Source organism: Homo sapiens, chromosome 10 (assembly GCF_000001405.40).
Source record: "Homo sapiens chromosome 10, GRCh38.p14 Primary Assembly".
NCBI lineage: Eukaryota > Metazoa > Chordata > Mammalia > Primates > Hominidae > Homo > Homo sapiens.
The window spans coordinates 105,803,559-105,821,431 of NC_000010.11; the positions used below are offsets into that span (position 1 = coordinate 105,803,559).

The 17,873-nt window shown below is 38.7% G+C and overlaps 1 long non-coding RNA gene across 1 annotated transcript in view; it reads right to left on the minus strand.

Annotated features, from left to right (window-relative positions):
* The window catches only part of LINC02627 (long intergenic non-protein coding RNA 2627), a 146,724-nt gene extending 129,949 nt beyond the window's left edge, over window positions 1–16,775 (minus strand). The window contains exons 1-3 of the long non-coding RNA NR_120625.1: window positions 16,601–16,775; window positions 15,510–15,655; window positions 14,360–14,468 (exon numbers count right to left, since the gene is read on the minus strand). This is a non-coding gene — a long non-coding RNA (long intergenic non-protein coding RNA 2627). The remainder of the gene's footprint in view (window positions 1–14,359; window positions 14,469–15,509; window positions 15,656–16,600) is intronic.
* Between the last annotated feature and the right edge of the window lie 1,098 nt (window positions 16,776–17,873).

A 17,873-nucleotide genomic window follows, 5' to 3' on the forward strand; every position in this document is an offset into this window, starting at 1 on the left:
AGAAATAAACTTGCATTGTGTTTGAGTCCATGATAAACATGGGGGTTTGTTTGTTATAGCAATTAGTGTTACCCTGACAATAATACACAATCTTACAGCTGTAGTACTCTCTTGCCACCTCCATTATCTGCTTCCCAGAGGCAAATATTTTCCCTGTAAATTGCTTACTTTGGTATTTACATCAAAAATCTCTAAATAACAAGCCTACATTACTAGTTCTATTTTTTTTTCAGTTTAAAACATTCTCTCTTGACTTCTCCATATGGAAGATGAGAATATAGCTTTCTTTTACAACCATCCTACCTTACATAATGATACTATATGATTGTTCAGGTCAATATATTTATTATTTAATTCATTTTTACTCTCTTAAGATTGTTCATAGCTGAGACATGTGGTATATAACATAGTTAGTTTTCCTTCCCTGTACAAGAGTTTGTTCTATCTGGAATTGATAATTTACTTAATCTTCCTCCTCATCCTCTTCATTCTTCTCTCTCTTCTTACTTTCCTAGTTTTCTAAGTATTTATCATGAGCCCAGCTCCCAAATCTTCACCAGCTGGGTAAATCTTCTCTCAATACCATCAAACTAAATTTTTTATCCATTTCATCTTTTTTTTTTTTTTTAAATCTCCCTTTCAACCACCTCTAATCTGGAAAGTAGCTCTCTAACCCTGCTGAATAACTGCTATTGTGCAAACTCTTTTAATATCATCATAAGGATATTCCTGCCTGTCTCTTTTGCTGACTCCCCTATTTCTCATATCCTGTTTTGTCTTCTTTCTTGGTTTTCTCCCTCATATTGATACGACTCACTTTCCAATAGCTTCCTGAGATAGAATGCATACACAAGCATTTTTTTTTTTTTTTGGTGTAACTGAAAATATCTTGACAATCTGGCATACCTAAAACATACAATTCTGTGTTGAAAAATATTTCCTCAGAGTTGCGAAGATATTTCTCTCTAGTGTTCCAGCTTCTGGAGTTGCTATTATGCAGAGAAATCCTAAGCAACTATGATTTCTAATTTTTCATGTGAATTTTTTCTTTTTACCTGGAAGCTTCTAGAACTTTCTTTTTATCAACCATGTCTTTAAATTTGCAGTAATGCACTTTGGTGTTGCTTTTATCCAACATACTGGCCACCTAATGGACCCAGTCCGTATAATCAAGTCCTCTAGTTCTGAAAAGAAGATTGAATTATATCTTTGATGGTACCATCCACCCCCATTTTCTCCTTTCTCTTTATTCTGGGCCATTCATTATTCAAACAGTGCATCTCCTGAATTGGTCCTTTAATTTTTCAAGGTTTTTTTTTCTTTTTTTTTTTTAATCTTCTTTTCTTCATCACGTATCCTTCGTTCTTTCTCTGAAAGATTTCTTTAACTTTGTTATAAATGTTTTATTATTTTAACTTATTTTTCTATCACCAAGAACTCATTTATATTCCTTGCATATTCTTTAATGTGGCACTCTGTTCTTTTCTTGTGGATGCTATGTAATTATATTTCTAAGAATATTAATGATAGAAACTGTTCAGCTTATAAACTAAAGATACTACAGTTGAGAAGTTCTGTGTTTGTTTTCTGTCTTTGTTTTCCATATCCAATGCCTGCTTCTAATGTCTAGTCATCCCTGTTTTTGCTTATATTAAAGAGTGAGAAACAAAGTGTTGATTAGAAACTCTATGCATTCAGTTGGAATTTTGGGTGATGGTCGTATCTCTAACATTATCTGGATGGGCTGTTTCTTTGGGGAATCATTAATGTCAGCAGTTTTAGGTCTTTTAGGTTCAGTTGGTCAGATAATCTTAGAGGAGAACTGCTTCTAACTCCTACTGGAAGTGTACAAGCTGGCTGCCAGCTTTTTGGGAGACATGTAGGAGAAGACTAGAATAGGAGAATTCAATATTCCCTGTGAAACTTACATTTAACTCTCTCTCTATATATTTATTTTTTAGATATGGATTTCTCCCATTAAATATTTCTGGAATCCCCAGTATAGACTCTATTTCACTCTCCTCAGAGAATAAACTCTTAGTCATCAATCCAGGTTGAGGAGGGTCAGCATGTGACTGTGTAGAGTCAGGGAGCATATCTGGGAGTCTTGTCCCTCCTCAGAAAGATCTTCAAACAACCTGCTTAGGCCCATGTTAAACCCACTTCCAAGATACCTGTTTTTCTCAAATCCTACACCTTTTAGGGATTCACCTTCATACATGAGGTTTCTTCCTGGCCTTCTTACTTCAAGCACAGAATTAAATTTTGTGGTCATGCTAAGTCAGTTTTCACTTTTCCATTTGCTTTTAGCTTCCAAAATCTTGTTTATGTCTCACCTCCCATTATTTCATTCCTTTGTGTTTTATGCCTTACACATTTTTGTCATTTTTGTGGGGCTTGAGGAATGTACTACATCTATATCTATAAATCTATATAGATACACAGTCTGATCAAATATACATGCCATCTTAAACTATAAGGTAGATGCAACTTAATTTTCATTAATACATTAAATCATAGACTTCTAATGCAGTAAGATTTTATTGAATGATATGAACTCTATGCTATCACCCAGTCCAGAAAACTCTTCTTCCTTATTGAGTACTATCAGTACTTCTTCCTGAAAGAGTACTTCCTGACAAGTACCTATCAAGTACTTGGAGTACAACAATGAATCATCCAAAGTGGTAGAGAATTCAAATAAGTAAATATTAAAAGAATATTAAAAGGGCTTCAATAGGATTGACAATAGGGTAGTCTACAAGTGAGATAGCTACTATAATCTGAATGAATAGGAGTTAAAGGCATATTAGGAGTTATCATTTCTAAGAGAAGAAAAGAGAATATTCTAGCTGCATAAAATAGAAATAATGAAAGCCTCGAGATAGAAGAGAATTAGGTAAATTTAGAGAACTAAATATGATGCTAGAAAGAAGGTGATAAGCATGGGCATAAAGTCTGACATTAGCCAGATCATAAGGACTGTATATGGCATGTCAAGTAGCTTAGACATTAACCTATGCACAATGATCAGCCACCGAATAGCCTTCAGCTGCGACATCATGGATATATGGAGCCATGTAAGAAAAAAATCACAAACGGTTCTCTAGTGATGCTTCATAGTATCTTTGCCCACTCTGTTCATGATCCAACTAGTTCCCTTGTTGTTTCATGATCATTAGCCAATTATGTTGCAATTTGCACATATTCCTTGCAGTCTTTTTTTTTTTTTTTTTTTTTTTTTGCAAACAGCAGAGGATATTCACTGTTACTTAGTACACTAACAACTCTTATGAATTGTGATTCAAAATTGTGTCTTCCACCTCTACTCAGAAAAGATGAAGTACCATCATGAAGCAAAGAACTTGTTCTGGTTCTTTTATAAGAGCAGTGTGTGCTAGTTCTGACACAGCGCTAAGTCATTAGAATCTAGAGCTAATGAATTCAATCTTGCTTTAAGCCATTATCCCTTTTTCAGTTCTGTGGCTGAAGATCATATTTTAAATCATCTCAAGCCATCTAACAAATGAACAACTTTGGCCTGTTGAAGTATCCTTCCCTCTCCTTATGTGATTCAGAGCTTCGGGTCTTAGAAGAATCCTACTATCACTGTATTACCTAAAAATTTCCTCTGCCAAATGGGATTACTATACCTAAAGTGGTTGGGTATGGTGAATCCTAATCTCCTATTCTCCAAGGAGGATAGTACCGTGGAAGAAATGAGGTTGGATTTGTAAGAATCAGGTAGACTGAGATAGAAACCCTAGTTTCACAACTGGCTTATTATATGGCTATGGCAACTTGAGTCTTTGATTCCTTTCTATAAAATGGAGAAATATGAACATTCCCACAGGGTTATTCTAAGGATTAGATGAGGTAATACAATTCTAAGGAACTATTACAAATTTAAATATTATTATAGACTTTTTAATATTGTGAATTTCTAAATGAATGTTTATCTTGGTGAAATGTTTATCTTGTTAATTTTTGTATTTTTTTAGTACATGGTAGAGATTTAAAACATAAACATAATATATGTATATGTATATGTATATGTAATATATGTATATGTTGTAAATCATTATATTCTCTCTCTATATATATATAGAATATATATTGAATAAAAGAAGCAGCCCTCTAGTCTAGAGTTAGCTATGTTTAAAACACCTCATGGGCCAGGCGTGGTGACTCACACCTGTAATCCCAGCACTTTGGGAGGCTGAGGCAGGCGGATCCCAAGGTCAGGAGATCAAGACCAGCCTGGCCAACATGGTGAAACCCCATCTCTGCTAAAAATACAAAAGTTAGCTGGGCATGGTGCCACGCGCCTGTAGTCCAAGCTACTCGGGAGGCTGAGGCAGGAGAATCATTTGAACCTGGGATGCTGAGGTTGCAGTGAGCCAAGATTGCGCCATTGCACTCCAACCTGGGCAACAGAGTGAGACTCCATCTCAAAAAACAAAACAAAACAAAACAAAACAAAAAACAACACTCATGCAGAAATTGTGAATTCAATAAGCTTTTCTTTGAGCTCTGCTAGTTTCTGCTTTCTGTGACCTTTCAACTCTCCTTACCCAGCCCTCCCGTCTGTCATCGTGGATCCTCATATGTTCTTTCACTTTCTCTTCCCCATATTAAAATTTAGTTGTAGAAAATAAGGAACGAGTTCTTAGTATTCAGATATCATTTCTTTTTCAATTTAGGAAGATTTTTGCTACAAGTATCAGGAAAGCCTTCTCTAACGGCCTTGAAGATTATGAAATGAATTGTAAAGTATAAGTTCTGTATTAGGGCAGGATTCAGGTACATCAATCTCACAGCTCAGTAGCGTTGGCCGGGTGGCCTGTTCTGCCAGTTATGGCATTGGCTTAATCCTCAGTCTGGTTGCACTTATGGACAGATGGCTGCCTATAACAATTGTCCTACCTGTTTCTTCATTCACATCAAGCGGACAAAAATTCAAACCAAAAAAGTTCTCACAATTACAGAGTAAGTGATCAGCCTATTAGATCTAATAAAATGCCCAATTCCAGACCATGCACTGTTTGAGAGTATTACCTCCCCACCCCCATCCCCCTACTCCCGTTCCCGCCCAGGCCAGTCAGCCCTATCTTTGGAACTGTGAATGAAATAACCACCGCACCTCCAGGCACAAAGGCTACCTGGGGTTCTTTGTTGGGAAGGAGAAATGGGGAAATGATGCTATTAGACAACTATTCATGTTAAATGCACTTCTCTCTTCCTTTAAAAAATGACTTATTCCCATAAATGCCTTTGTGATCCAGTGAGAAGGTAATAGGACTAATTGGATGGCAAAGTCGCCTCCTCTGTAAGATGTAAGGATGAACATGCTCCCTGGAGTTCCACTTAGCAGATAATCAGTTGCTTTCATGACTTTCAGCAAGAATGCCCATTTCCTGTGGGTCTGGATGGCTGTGAACATAGGAAAAAAGGTGTATATGTATTTTCTGCTGATCCCTTAACCAGAATCACCTTTAATTTTGTCCCAGACTCCTAGATCCCCAAATCAGAGTCTGAGCAATTTAGACGCCCCTTCCCCAAATCTCTCAGAGTGACTTTTAAAAAAGAGAGCAACCAAAAGCAAACAGGTTGATGCATTTTTAGGAAAATGTTTTTCAAAACCTCAGAAACAAATGGCATCTAAATTTTCCAAAAATATGGGATAAAAGCTCCGCCATTCCTACTTCTCTTTGCAAACAAGGCTTAAGTTTGGAGACAGCATCTGGATTTGTTAACAATACATACTTATGTACCCACTTCACTTAGCTTCCTCACAAACTTGCAGACATCTATTTGGTTCTGTCAGCTTATCTCCATAACCACTACGGGTTCTCTCTTGAGTTAATTTTTCTTCTCTCTCTATCTTTGTCCTCATTTCTCTATTTTATTGCTTCAGTGCACAGGACCGTAAGCAGTGAATTCTTCATTGCTATGTTTGCTAACATGGAGAGTACTACTCCCTACAAATTATATACTAGTGAAAAAAAGCCAAAAGACAGAACTTGTGCCTACGTAAGTTTTGGATATAAAAAGTTTATTTTTGCGCCGGGCACACTGGCTCGCACCTGTAATCCCAGCACTTTGGGAGGCCGAGGCAGGTGGATCACCTGAGGTCAGGAGTTCGAGACTAGCCTGGCCAACATGGTGAAACCCCGCCTCTACTAAAAATACAAAAATTAGCCCAGCCTGGTGGCGGGCACCTACAATCTCAGCTACTAGAGAGACTGAGGCAGGAGAATCGCTTAAACCTCGGAGGCAGAGGTTGCAGTGAGCCGAGATTGCGCCACTGCACTCCAGCCTGGGCAACAGAGCAAGTTTCCCTCTCAAAAAATAAATAAATAAATAAATAAAGGTTTCCTTTTATGTTTGGTTTTATTACAAGGTTACAGATTGGTGGCACATGATAATAAAATTACAGATTTAAAAAGAGACAACAAAGATGAAAGAGAAAATTCTGTAACACAAGTCACACAGTAGTGGCAGAAGACAAAGTGGGAGCAGGCATCTCACATGGTGAGAAGTGGAGCAAGAGAGAGTGGCGTGGGAGGTGCCACACACCTAAACAACCAGATCTCGTAGGTACTCACTATTGCAAGGACAGCACCCAGCCATGAAACATTGGCCTCTATGACCAAAATACCTCCCACTAGTCCCCACCTCCAACACTGGGGATTACATTTCAACTTGAGATTTGTGTGGGGACAAATATCCAAACTATATCACTAATAAATCCCTACGTTTCCTTTTAATCTCTTTAGAGTCAGGGTGCTGCCACTTGTCTTCAACTGGGTTCAGCTTCATGCCAATATGATGTCCACAATGCGTATCAACCCTGAGATTCTAACTCTATGTGGATGGTCTATAACACAAGTCACACAAATCTGTTCTTCAGGCCTGGGCCAGAAGAACCTGTATTCTAAAGCAGTCACAGAGCCCTCCAAGATTCAAGAAGAGGAGGCATAGACCCCAACTCTCCATAGGAGGAGTATCAAAGCTTTTGAGACATCTTTAATCTGCTACAGCCCTATGGGGTAAAACACTGTTATTCCCATGTTACTGAAGGTGAAACTGAGCGAAAAAGAAAACATATAACTTTATTAAGGTCACAGAATTAATAGAAAGCTATAGGTCTGACCTCCAGCAGTCTGGCTCTAAAACCTGCATTTTTTTTTTTATTATACTTTAAGTTCTAGGGTATATGTGTACAACGTGCAAGTTTGTTACATATGTATACATGTGCCATGCTGGTGTGCTGCACCCATTAACTCATCATTTAGCATTAGGTATATCTCCTAATGCTTTCCCTCCCCCCTCACCCCACCCCATGACAGGCCCCAGTGTGTGATGTTCCCCTTCCTGTGTCCAAGTGTTCTCACTGTTCAGTTCCCACCTATGAGTGAGAACATGCGGTGTTTGGTTTTTTGTCCTTGCGATAGTTTGCTGAGAATGATGGTTTCCAGCTTCATCCATGTCCCTACAAAGGACATGAACTCATCATTTTTTATGGCTGCATAGTATTCCATGGTGTATATGTGCCACATTTTCTTAATCCAGTCTATCATTCATGGACACTTGGGTTGGTTCCAAGTCTTTGCTATTGTGAGTAGTGCCACAATAAACATATGTGTGCATGTATCTTTATAGCAGCATGATTTATAATCCTTTGGATATATACCCAGTAATGGGATGGCTGGGTCAAATGGTATTTCTAGTTCTAGATCCCTGAGGAATCGCCACACTGTCTTCCACAATGGTTGAACTAGTTTACAGTCCCACCAACAGTGTAAAAGTGTTCCTATTTCTCCACATCCTCTCCAGCACCTGTTGTTTCCTGACTTTTTAATGATGGCCATTCTAACTGGTGTAAGATGGTATCTCATTGTAGTTTTGATTTGCATTTTTCTGATGGGGCCAGTGATGATGAGCATTTTCTCATGTGTCTGTTGGCTGCATAAGTGTCTTCTTTTGAGAAGTGTCTGTTCATATCCTTCACCCACTTGTTGATGGAATTGTTTTTTTCTTGTAAATTTGTTTGAGTACTTTGTAGATTCTGGATATTAGCCCTTTGTCAGTGAGTAGATTGCAAAAATTTTCTCCCAATCTGTAGGTTGCCTGTTCACTCTGATGGTAGTTTCTTTTGCTGTGCAGAAGCTCTTTAGTTTAATTAGATCCCATTTGTCAATTTTGGCTTTTGTTGCCATTGCTTTTGGTGTTTTAAAACCTGCATTTTTAACCACTTAACCACCCTTAATTCTTTCTGGATATAGACATTATCATGCATGAAGGCTCCTTCTCTCAAGGCTGACTTGCAGCTCTGTTTCCTACTTTTGGCAAGAAGTGGGGTCACTGGCAGGTCTGGCCTCTGAGAAAATCCCAGATCCCAGTTTAAAAATCTTAGGAAATGCCTTGACTGGCCCAATAAAGGTCATGAGCCCATTCTTGGATAAATAAACACAGTCAAGGTGTAGAGATATTCCACTTACTCAGAGGAGGTTCTGGCCAGCCCCTATCACCAAGTAGCCTGTGTCTGTTGCTAGAAAGACGGAGGAAGGGCTGTAGGGCAGACAAGTACCATTGAGGTCCAGGACAATGGACATCTAACCTAGCACTTTTGCCTAATACTTGAATCACTTTCACTCTCTATTTCAGTTAAATGCTTAAGCAACTTTGCTTTCCATAGAATTCATTTCTTCCTAAAGATGCCCATTACTGTTTAAAGAATTTCAAGCTTCAGAGAGCAGATGAGGAAAGTGTTTTGAAGTGCTAAAGCCTTTCCCAATCTTTGTCTTAGAATTGTGCCACAATTTCCCGTCAGAGAGTAGCTGGTCTACCAAACCTCTGTATGTTTTTGCCATGGTATCCCCAGAGTCTATCACCATGGGATGGATGTGTGAACAAACCTGGTTCAATGCAATTTAACAAGCATTTATTGAACCATCAGGTTGATAGATTATCTCCCTAGAAAGGCTGATAATTTTGGTATTGAGGTTAGTAACAGACTTAGGAGTTGTGAGAGTCCTTAGGGAATTGTGATTCCCGGATTGGACAGTATCTGTGGAAATTCTCCAAAAAAAACAAGAAACGGTATGTGCAGAAAAGTCATCATTAGCCCAGGCCAAGCCCCTCTAGGTACATGGTCACTTATTTATAAAACGGAAACTTTCCAATCAGTTTCCATGATGTCTCAAATATTGGGTATTATCCTTCTTCAAGAGCTTCTCCTCAGAGCTAAAATGTTAGAATTTAAGCTGTGTAATCAATAAGATCTCGCCTAACACTGTCTGTGATTTATAATTTTAGTGTTGAAAAGAACCATTTCCTGGAACATTCTGTATAATTTTTTGTTGAAAATTAAGTTATATTGTAAATGTTCTTGGAGTAATGCAAATCAAAGAAACTCTGTCATTAAATCCACAAAGTGAAGAATTATTTTCAATAATCCATTATTTAGCATTTGTGTAAACCTGGATTTTTCACAGGTCAAATTTGCCCAAGTCGCCACTGCAGCGCCCCACTTCCTGTGTGCCAGCCCCCTCCTGAATTCCATTTGACCCCACGATGAGCTAGAGGGGAGCTGTTAGCCGCTGGTCTAATAGCTCTACTTCTGTCATATAATCTTAGGAAATGCATTGCACTGGAGCACCGGATGGATTCAAAACCAACACAAAAGGGAGTCAGCCAACTCAAAATGCCCCTGCACATCAGATGATTTGAATGATATATTTCAAACACAGTGAGACTGTGTATTGTCCCAGAAAATAAATAAGGTAGCAGAAGTCATATACATTGTTGCTTTTGGGTGTGTGGTCAGAATACCTGAGATTACCAAGGATGTTCATAACAGATGCACCAATTCTAGAGTTCCCAAATAGAACTTCATACTTAATTTTACTTTTTCCCCCTAAAGAGAAGAAGGATTCATATCTTTGAGAATATTAATATGAATAATTATTATAGAAATAATATAGAGATATGAGTATTTATATTCATATATATACACACACATATATTTACACAGATATGATACACAAATGCATTCAGAACAAAAGATTCTAACTTCATTGTGTCAGAAAAATCTAAAAAATACAATAAAACAAAACAAAATTTACCCAGTTAATTGCTTTGCAGATACATGATACAAATCAAGCTAGATCTGAGGTGGTCCTTTTCTCAAACAAGAATGGTGCTAGGCATTGGAGGTGCGGAGTTAGAAGAAAGGAGCAATTAACTTACTGAAGAAAATTAAATATCAAAAAGGAAAGTTTGGTTTCCCAAAAAGAAAAGTTTGATTTGGTCCATCAAGTGTTCCCTACAGCTATTTTCTGAATGCATTCCAACCTATGTCTGGGTAGATTTTTTTGAGATGGAGTTTCACTCTTGTTGCCCAGGCTGGAGTGCAATGGCGTGATCTCGGCTCATCGCAACCTCCGCCTTCCGGGTTCAAGCGATTCTCCTGCCTCAGCCTCTGGAGTAGCTGGGATTACAGGCACGTGCCACCATGCCCAGCTAATTTTGTATTTTTAGTAGAGATGGGGTTTCTCCATGTTGGTCAGGCTGGTCTCAAACTCCTGACCTCAGGTGATCCACCCGCCTCAGCCTCCCAAAGTGCTGGGATTACAGGCGTGAGCCACCGTGCCCAGCTGAGTAGACTTTTTTGATCTCTAAATTATATGTCTTTCATAAAATTCTATGAAGTCAGAGGCACAAAAGTAGATAAACTCCCTTTAAATTTGAAGGGGCCAATGTAGTGTGACTAAAGGACTATATATGGCGCATTCACACACATGCAAAGAATTAAGAAGGATGCTGGGTCTGCAGCAGTGTTTCTCAACAGCAGCACTATGGACATGTTGAGCCTGATAACTTTTTGCTGTAGGTGGATGTCCTGCGCATTGTAGAATATTTAGTAGCATCCCTCACTTCGATGCATTAGATGCTTGGTAGCATCTACTTCCATCCCCAGGCTCATCACAACCAAAATGTCTCCAGATGTTGCCAAATGTCCTGTGTTGGGTAAATTTCTCCTGGTTGAGAACCACTGCTCTAAAGTCAAAACCTCTGTTACTTCTCTATTTTGGCTATCCCAGACATTCTTATTGTATTAGGCCTTTCTTGCGCTGTTATACATAAATACATGAGACTGGGTAATTTATAAGAAAAGAAGTTTAATTGGCTCAGGGTTCTTAGACTACACAGGAAGCATAGCAGTATTAGGAAGCTTCCAATCATGGCAGAAGGCAAAGGGGGAACAGGCATGTCACATGCTAAGAAAAGGAGCGAACAAGAGAGTGTGAGAGGGAGGGGTGCCACACATTTTTAAACCACCAGATCTCCTGAGAACAAAGAGAGAGAGCTCATTTATCACCAAAGGGATGGTCCAAGCCATTCATGAGGAATTTTCCCTCATAATCCAAACACCTCCCACCAGGCCCCATCTCTAATACTGGGAATTACATTTCAACATGAGATTTGGTGGGGACACACATTCAAACTATATCACTTACCTACTATAAGTATTATTTTCAAATATTTATTGTCAAAGCACATAATTTATTTCCTTCACTCTAATTTTAAGGTTATTTGTCTTAGGTTTTATTCCTGAAAAGAAGAGCCAGAGAGAGGGATTTGTGTGCAAGCCATTTGTCAAAGGAGTGTTCCATGGAGAAATCTGTGAGTGCAAGAAGCCAATTAGAGAAGAGAAAAGAGCCGCAAACACATGGATTCAGATGAGGTCTATCCTTGGGCTGCTCCCTTGAGAAGCACCAACATGTAAATCACACCATGGAATTTGCTCAGCTTTGAGGCAACAGAACCATGCTTCTGTACCTCACATTGAACAATTATTATCTAACAGCCACTGTAGAGAGTGTTGAAAATTGGCTACATTGAGCTGCACCAAAAACAGTTGGTATGCTATTTCTTCAAAAGAAAAATTGGATGAGCCTGATTGGCTTAATATGTTTTATCCAGAGATGATTATCATCATGAAAATAGAAGCACACCAAAAATGACCAATATCAGCATTATCCTGGTTTAGCACACAAAACCCATCTATTTAAAGTATAGTATTTTGGAAAAAGATGTTTTAATGGAAACTAAAGTAGTGACATTTCTAAGTGCCCTTTGACTATAACTATGTTCCCAAGCATAATTTCACAAAACATCTCTTAAATTTGTATTTTTCTCCATAATGGGAATATATATTAATGTGTTTTAGAAGAGTAAGAGCCCTGATCTACAATATACACTTGAAGTATCTACAATATACACTTGAAGTATGTCTCCTGTCCTCTCTTCTCATTAGTTTGTTTGTGCTCAGGAAAAGTGAAAATGATAATCAGAATAGCAAGGATGGGAGAACATCTTAAACAAAGACAAGCAGTTTAGCTTGAGAATGGCAAGAGAATATTATAAAGAAATATATTCCATTCAAAAACCAATACAAATAACTTTCTGATTATTGTGTGAGGTTATTGTACCATAATTCACCCATGTATTGAGGGAATACTCACATACACACAGATACACATACATCAAATAATTTTTGTTTGTGAAAAACCCTATAATTTTATCTGTGCAAAACTTCATGCATATGTTTTAATGTATTTATTTTTAGTTATTGTTTGTAATGGAATGAAATCTATAATATTATAAAGATGAACAAAAATAAACCTGCCAGAGAGACCTGGTTATCTTTGTTTGAAAATGGCAATGGATACTCTAGAGGCATTTAAGTTATACATCTACAAGTCCCCTAAATACTCTGCTAATTGCTGCCATGGGACACTTTACTTTCTCAAGGTTTACAGTCTAGTTGGGTACACAGAATAAGCACACAGGAGAGGATGACAATTAATTTCAGGCCATAAGCAGTTAAATAGGTGCTAGCTATAAGGAATTCTGGAGGAAGAGATCCTGACCTCTTGAGATAACCAGGACACATTTTAAGGAGAAGGTGGTCTTTAAATTAGGTTTTGAAGCTGCATTTTAGCTCAGCTATTCTTATGCAATACCTAGCTATTGCAAAGATTCAAAGTTACATTTTTGATAGTCTAAGTTCAAGTAGCAGTGCTGGCTTCCTTAGGCAACCCAAAGGAAATACTTCTTCTTTGAAACTTGTTACTTTTTTCTGTTTGAGAAATTATGTGTGCTCATTTTTAGAATATTCAGAAGGTCTGAAGAAGAAATTTAAAAGGACCCATAACTCTAACAACTAGTGTAAACCATTATTAAAATTTTAATAAATATGAACAGATTTCTTTTTAGAGTTTCAGAGGCATAAAATTGCCTTATGTCGCTAGGCTAAAAGTGACCTGTGACCTGGGAGGTTATGGACCAACCTATAGAAGTTGTTTCAGTACCGACTACCTACAGATGGTAATCCAATGTATTCTTTTTTAAAAAATAGATTTATGTATTTTGTTTTGTAAAAATCTATGGTGTACAAGTGCAATTTTGTTACATGTATAGATTGCCTAGCAGCAAAGTCAGGCTTTTAGGGTATCCATCACCAGAAAAAAAGTACACTGTCCCCATTAACTAATTTCTCATCACCAGCACAGGGTGCCTCACACCTGTAGTCCCAGCACTTTGGGAGGCTGAGGCGGGGAGATCACCTGAGGTCGGGAGTTTGAGATCAGCTTGACCAACATGGTGAAACTCCATCTCTACTAAAAATACAAAAATTAGCTGGGCGTAGTGGCGGGTGCCTGTAATCCCAGCTACTTGGGAGGCTGAGGCAGGAGAATCACTTGAACACGGGAGGCGGAGTTTGCGGTGAGCCGAGATCGCGTCATTGCACTCCAGCCTGGGTGACAGAGCAAGACTCTGTCTTAAAAAAAAAAAAAAGTAATTTCTCCTCATCCACCTCTGTCCCACCCCCTGCCCCAATGTCTTCCAGAACACCTCTTTTGACAGGTAACTCATCAACTCCCAAGAAAGCCCAGACTATTTTCAGATAACTTGATGTAGTTTAAAATGCTTTAATATGTTAAGTCTAAATCTCTAACCTCACAATTTCTATCTATTTCCCTGATTCTGGGCACCTCTAGAATAAACTAAATCTTGCTTTCAAGTGTAAATCTTTTGTGGCTTCTCTGTCCTTATCAGTGTCTCCTGAGCTGGCCACTGTTTGCTGTCCACTGAATGGTCTAGGAGGTATTCACAAAAAATTACAGCAATAATATTATGGAAGAAGTTAGAGCTACTCTCTAAATTGGGCACAGATGGATTAGAATGGTATTGTGTTTTGAGAAAATGTAAGTAACTAATAACTAATAATTGTCATACAGTATGAATAACAATATTGCTATTATGCAGGAAAGTCTTCATTACTTACTCATCTCCTATCCCCCAATCACACCCCAGAAACAGTCTCGACAATATCTCCTGGGCTTTTTTTTTTCTTCAGTATCTAACAGGAAATAATTATGCGTGTCAGCTTTCAGCTGTCAAAAAAAGAGAGAGAGAATGATTTATAAAAGAAAATTCAATTTCCAAAAGTTGGCATTTTTATGAATTTCTGTATTTTTAAAGGAGCATATGTTGTTAAGCAATAGCTTGAAGCCTTTGAAATCACTCTCTGTCTGCACCTCCCTATTATCTCAGTGGCCACCAAGAATCTGTGAACATTCTGTACAAGGAAGATGGAGACAATGAATTCTTTCGGTACTCATGTTACCTGAATAACGTTAAGATAAAAAAATCAGTCAAAAGATAAATTTATGTGTGCATAGTGAGCACTGCTCCTTATTCAGGGAGTAATTGTTTCATGCTCTTCCCAAACTGGGAAACGGAAAACAGGGTCTGTCTTCAAACTCAAACGCATATGGGGCCTAGCAAGTAACATACTTGGGTTAGGTGAGATGATGGCAACTTGATAGGTCATGGTCCATTTAAGGGGAAGGGTGCAATTCAGCATCAAATGTTGCTCTATGAGAGTTTAGCCTCACCTGCTATTGCCAGATCTCCTGATGTTTTTACAAGAGATGCCCAATAAATTCTTATTTTTGTGCATGCCCTCTTGTCTTTTGAACTCTGGCAATTAATTATGTTTTCGAAAACCTAATCTGAGTACCACAAAACCTTTCTGTGGATTGAACTTGGACAAAGGTAAATTGGGACCTGCCCCAGATGTAGAGGTTCCCTCAATGCCAACTGGTGAGTCCAGTAAGTTGTGCAATTCAAATGATATAACAGAAGCTCACAATGCTCCTTGAAGAGTAAGTAGGGTTAGGATTTCTGGGAGGAAATGGGAACATCTCAAGTAGAACAAACAACCGTGTCTGAAGACAAACATGGGGATGTAACAGTGAGATGTCCCAATATTTGGAGTATATGGTACCAACCGGGGAGGAAAAGGAAATGGATATTAAATAGGCTGCATGGGTTGTGATCATGGAAGATATTTCATGCCAGCCAGAAGAAAAATTATGAATAGAAATAATTGGAAATAGGGAGACAATCAGGGTATTGAAGCAGCACAATACCTGCAGAATTTCATAGAGATATCCAAAAAGGGCTGCCCAAGAGGATGATCTGAGTCATTCTGAAGATGGTGTTTTTGTCTTTGTTGACCACCTGCTATTGATCCAATGGAGAAGTTTAGCCTAGGGAAGGCTGAAGAACACCTTGGCTAGTTGGGAGATGGAGAGAGATACCTTTTGGACTCTTAAGAATTACAAGTTTCTTTCTAATTCCATTTGTTTTTTTCGTCATTCATTTATGCCACAAATATTAGTAAAGCACCTATTCTACATCCTGCCCTATAGTTAGAACTACAGCATGCAACAGAAAATAAAATGGAAGTGGAAAAATACCAGTGATATTTGCAATAATGGGTAAAAAATATTAGAAAGTGATCCAGGGAGCTGTGGGAGCACCTACAATGAGCACCTGGACCTGTCTCTGCAGTGTTAGGTATTCAGGAAATATGTCCCAGAAGCAACATTTAAGCTGTAATGTGGATGATCAGTAGGAGTCAGGCCAAGCACAGAGGACAAGGGGGTTCCTGGGATAAGGCGGAAGGCAGCATGTTGGTGTTGATATGAGAGCTGAGAACATTTAATTATGCCTGGAGTATAAAAGGAGAGGAGGAAGTTGGTGAGAAGTGAGTGGAGAAAGGTAATCAAGAATGACATTCTGTGGGCTTAGAGGACTTGTTAAGGAGTTCTCAAAAACATTTTAAAGGGCCGGGCATGGTGGCTCACACCTGTAATCCCAGCACTTTGGGAGGTCGAGGTGGGTGGATCACAAGGTCAGGAGATCGAGACCATCCTGGCTAACACGGTGAAACCCGGTCCCTACTAAAAATACAATTAGTATAAAAAAATTAGCGGGCGCCTGTAGGAAGCTGAAGCAGGAGAATGGCGTGAACCTGGGAGGCGGAGCCTGCAGTGAGCCGAGATCGCACCACTGCACTCCAGGCTGGGTGACAGCGAGACTTCGTCTCAAAAAAAAAAAGTTTTAAAGCAGGATAACAATAACGTCCAAATTTTATTTTTAAAAACGAATTGACAACGGTGTACCTGGGGGCCAAAAAAAACCAGTTAAAATCCTTTACCCAGAGATTTGACCTTACCAAGCAACTCAGAAAGCCTTTCTGATGTTTGGACACAAAGGGAAATAAATGAAAGTTCCTGAGATGGTATGTGGCAGCACTGTGCCAGACAACCAAGGAAGGGTCTTGGTGTCAGGGTATCACAACACTGGACTGTCCAGGATGAAAGGGATTGTAGAAGCCATTGGCCGTTGCCTGGCACTCTTTATACTAAGGAGAAAACGGAGGCCCAGAGAGGACAAACAATGTACCTAGGATCACACAGCAAGGCAGTGGTAGAACCAGGCCGGACCCAGATCCCAAGAAAATTATTTTTTTATTTAGTACAAGGGCAAAACACACTACTTATTAAGGTAGGAAAAAACTTACAGAATATCAGAATTATAGTTGTGGAATTCCCTATCTCTGAAGAAAAAGAGGAACTAACCCAGTCAGTACACAAAGTGGAACACAGAACACAGACACACAAAACAAATAATTAACAGTGTAAATGTTAGTCATTTTTACACTCTAAATTTATGATATTTTGGGCTGTGCATCTTTTCTAAAGAACTATACCCAAAGAAAAAGGGCATTCTGTTACAGTTTGACATCCTTGTGTTTTTTTTTCTTCTTCTTTGCTAAAATCAGGATTTAACAATCTAAGGGGAAAATATTTTCACATCTCAAAAGAACTGTCTGAGGATACAGAAAGAGAATCTGGGGGTGTCAGCTCCTAGTCCCTTCATCCCTCATGAGTAGTATAAGGGGGGTGAACTGAGGATCCCCAAGAGTTCTACTTCAAAGATTCATGGAACACAGATAACAAAAACCAGATCTTTTCACCCTTTTTAATATACTTGATTTTTCAAGTAAATGAGTTATTTGCAAAAAATAAATTTTTTATATGTACCACTGAGTAGGAGTGGATATTAATCATTTCAGTAAATAGATTTCAGTTTACTCCCCAAACACTGAACTGAAGCAGCATGCAAATTATTTATAAACGAACCAAGGGAGACAAGGAGGTAAGACTGTGGAACTGCCAGTTGTTAAAACAGTTCATGGAGTGGATTTAAATAATGCCTGCTCTGCCACTACACCAGAGTACATTTCTGCATAGAAGCTTTACATATGGATCCTTCTTCTACACGGGCAAAATAAACAGGATGTTTTTAGGTAGAGGCATCACATACTCACTGAGAGTGCCAACTCTCCCCCAGCTCAATGGTTGGAACACAATAAGCACTCAATAAATGTTGCTGGGTAAACTAATAAAGTCACCACGATGTTAATAGCCGGGTTTGGTCTCTCT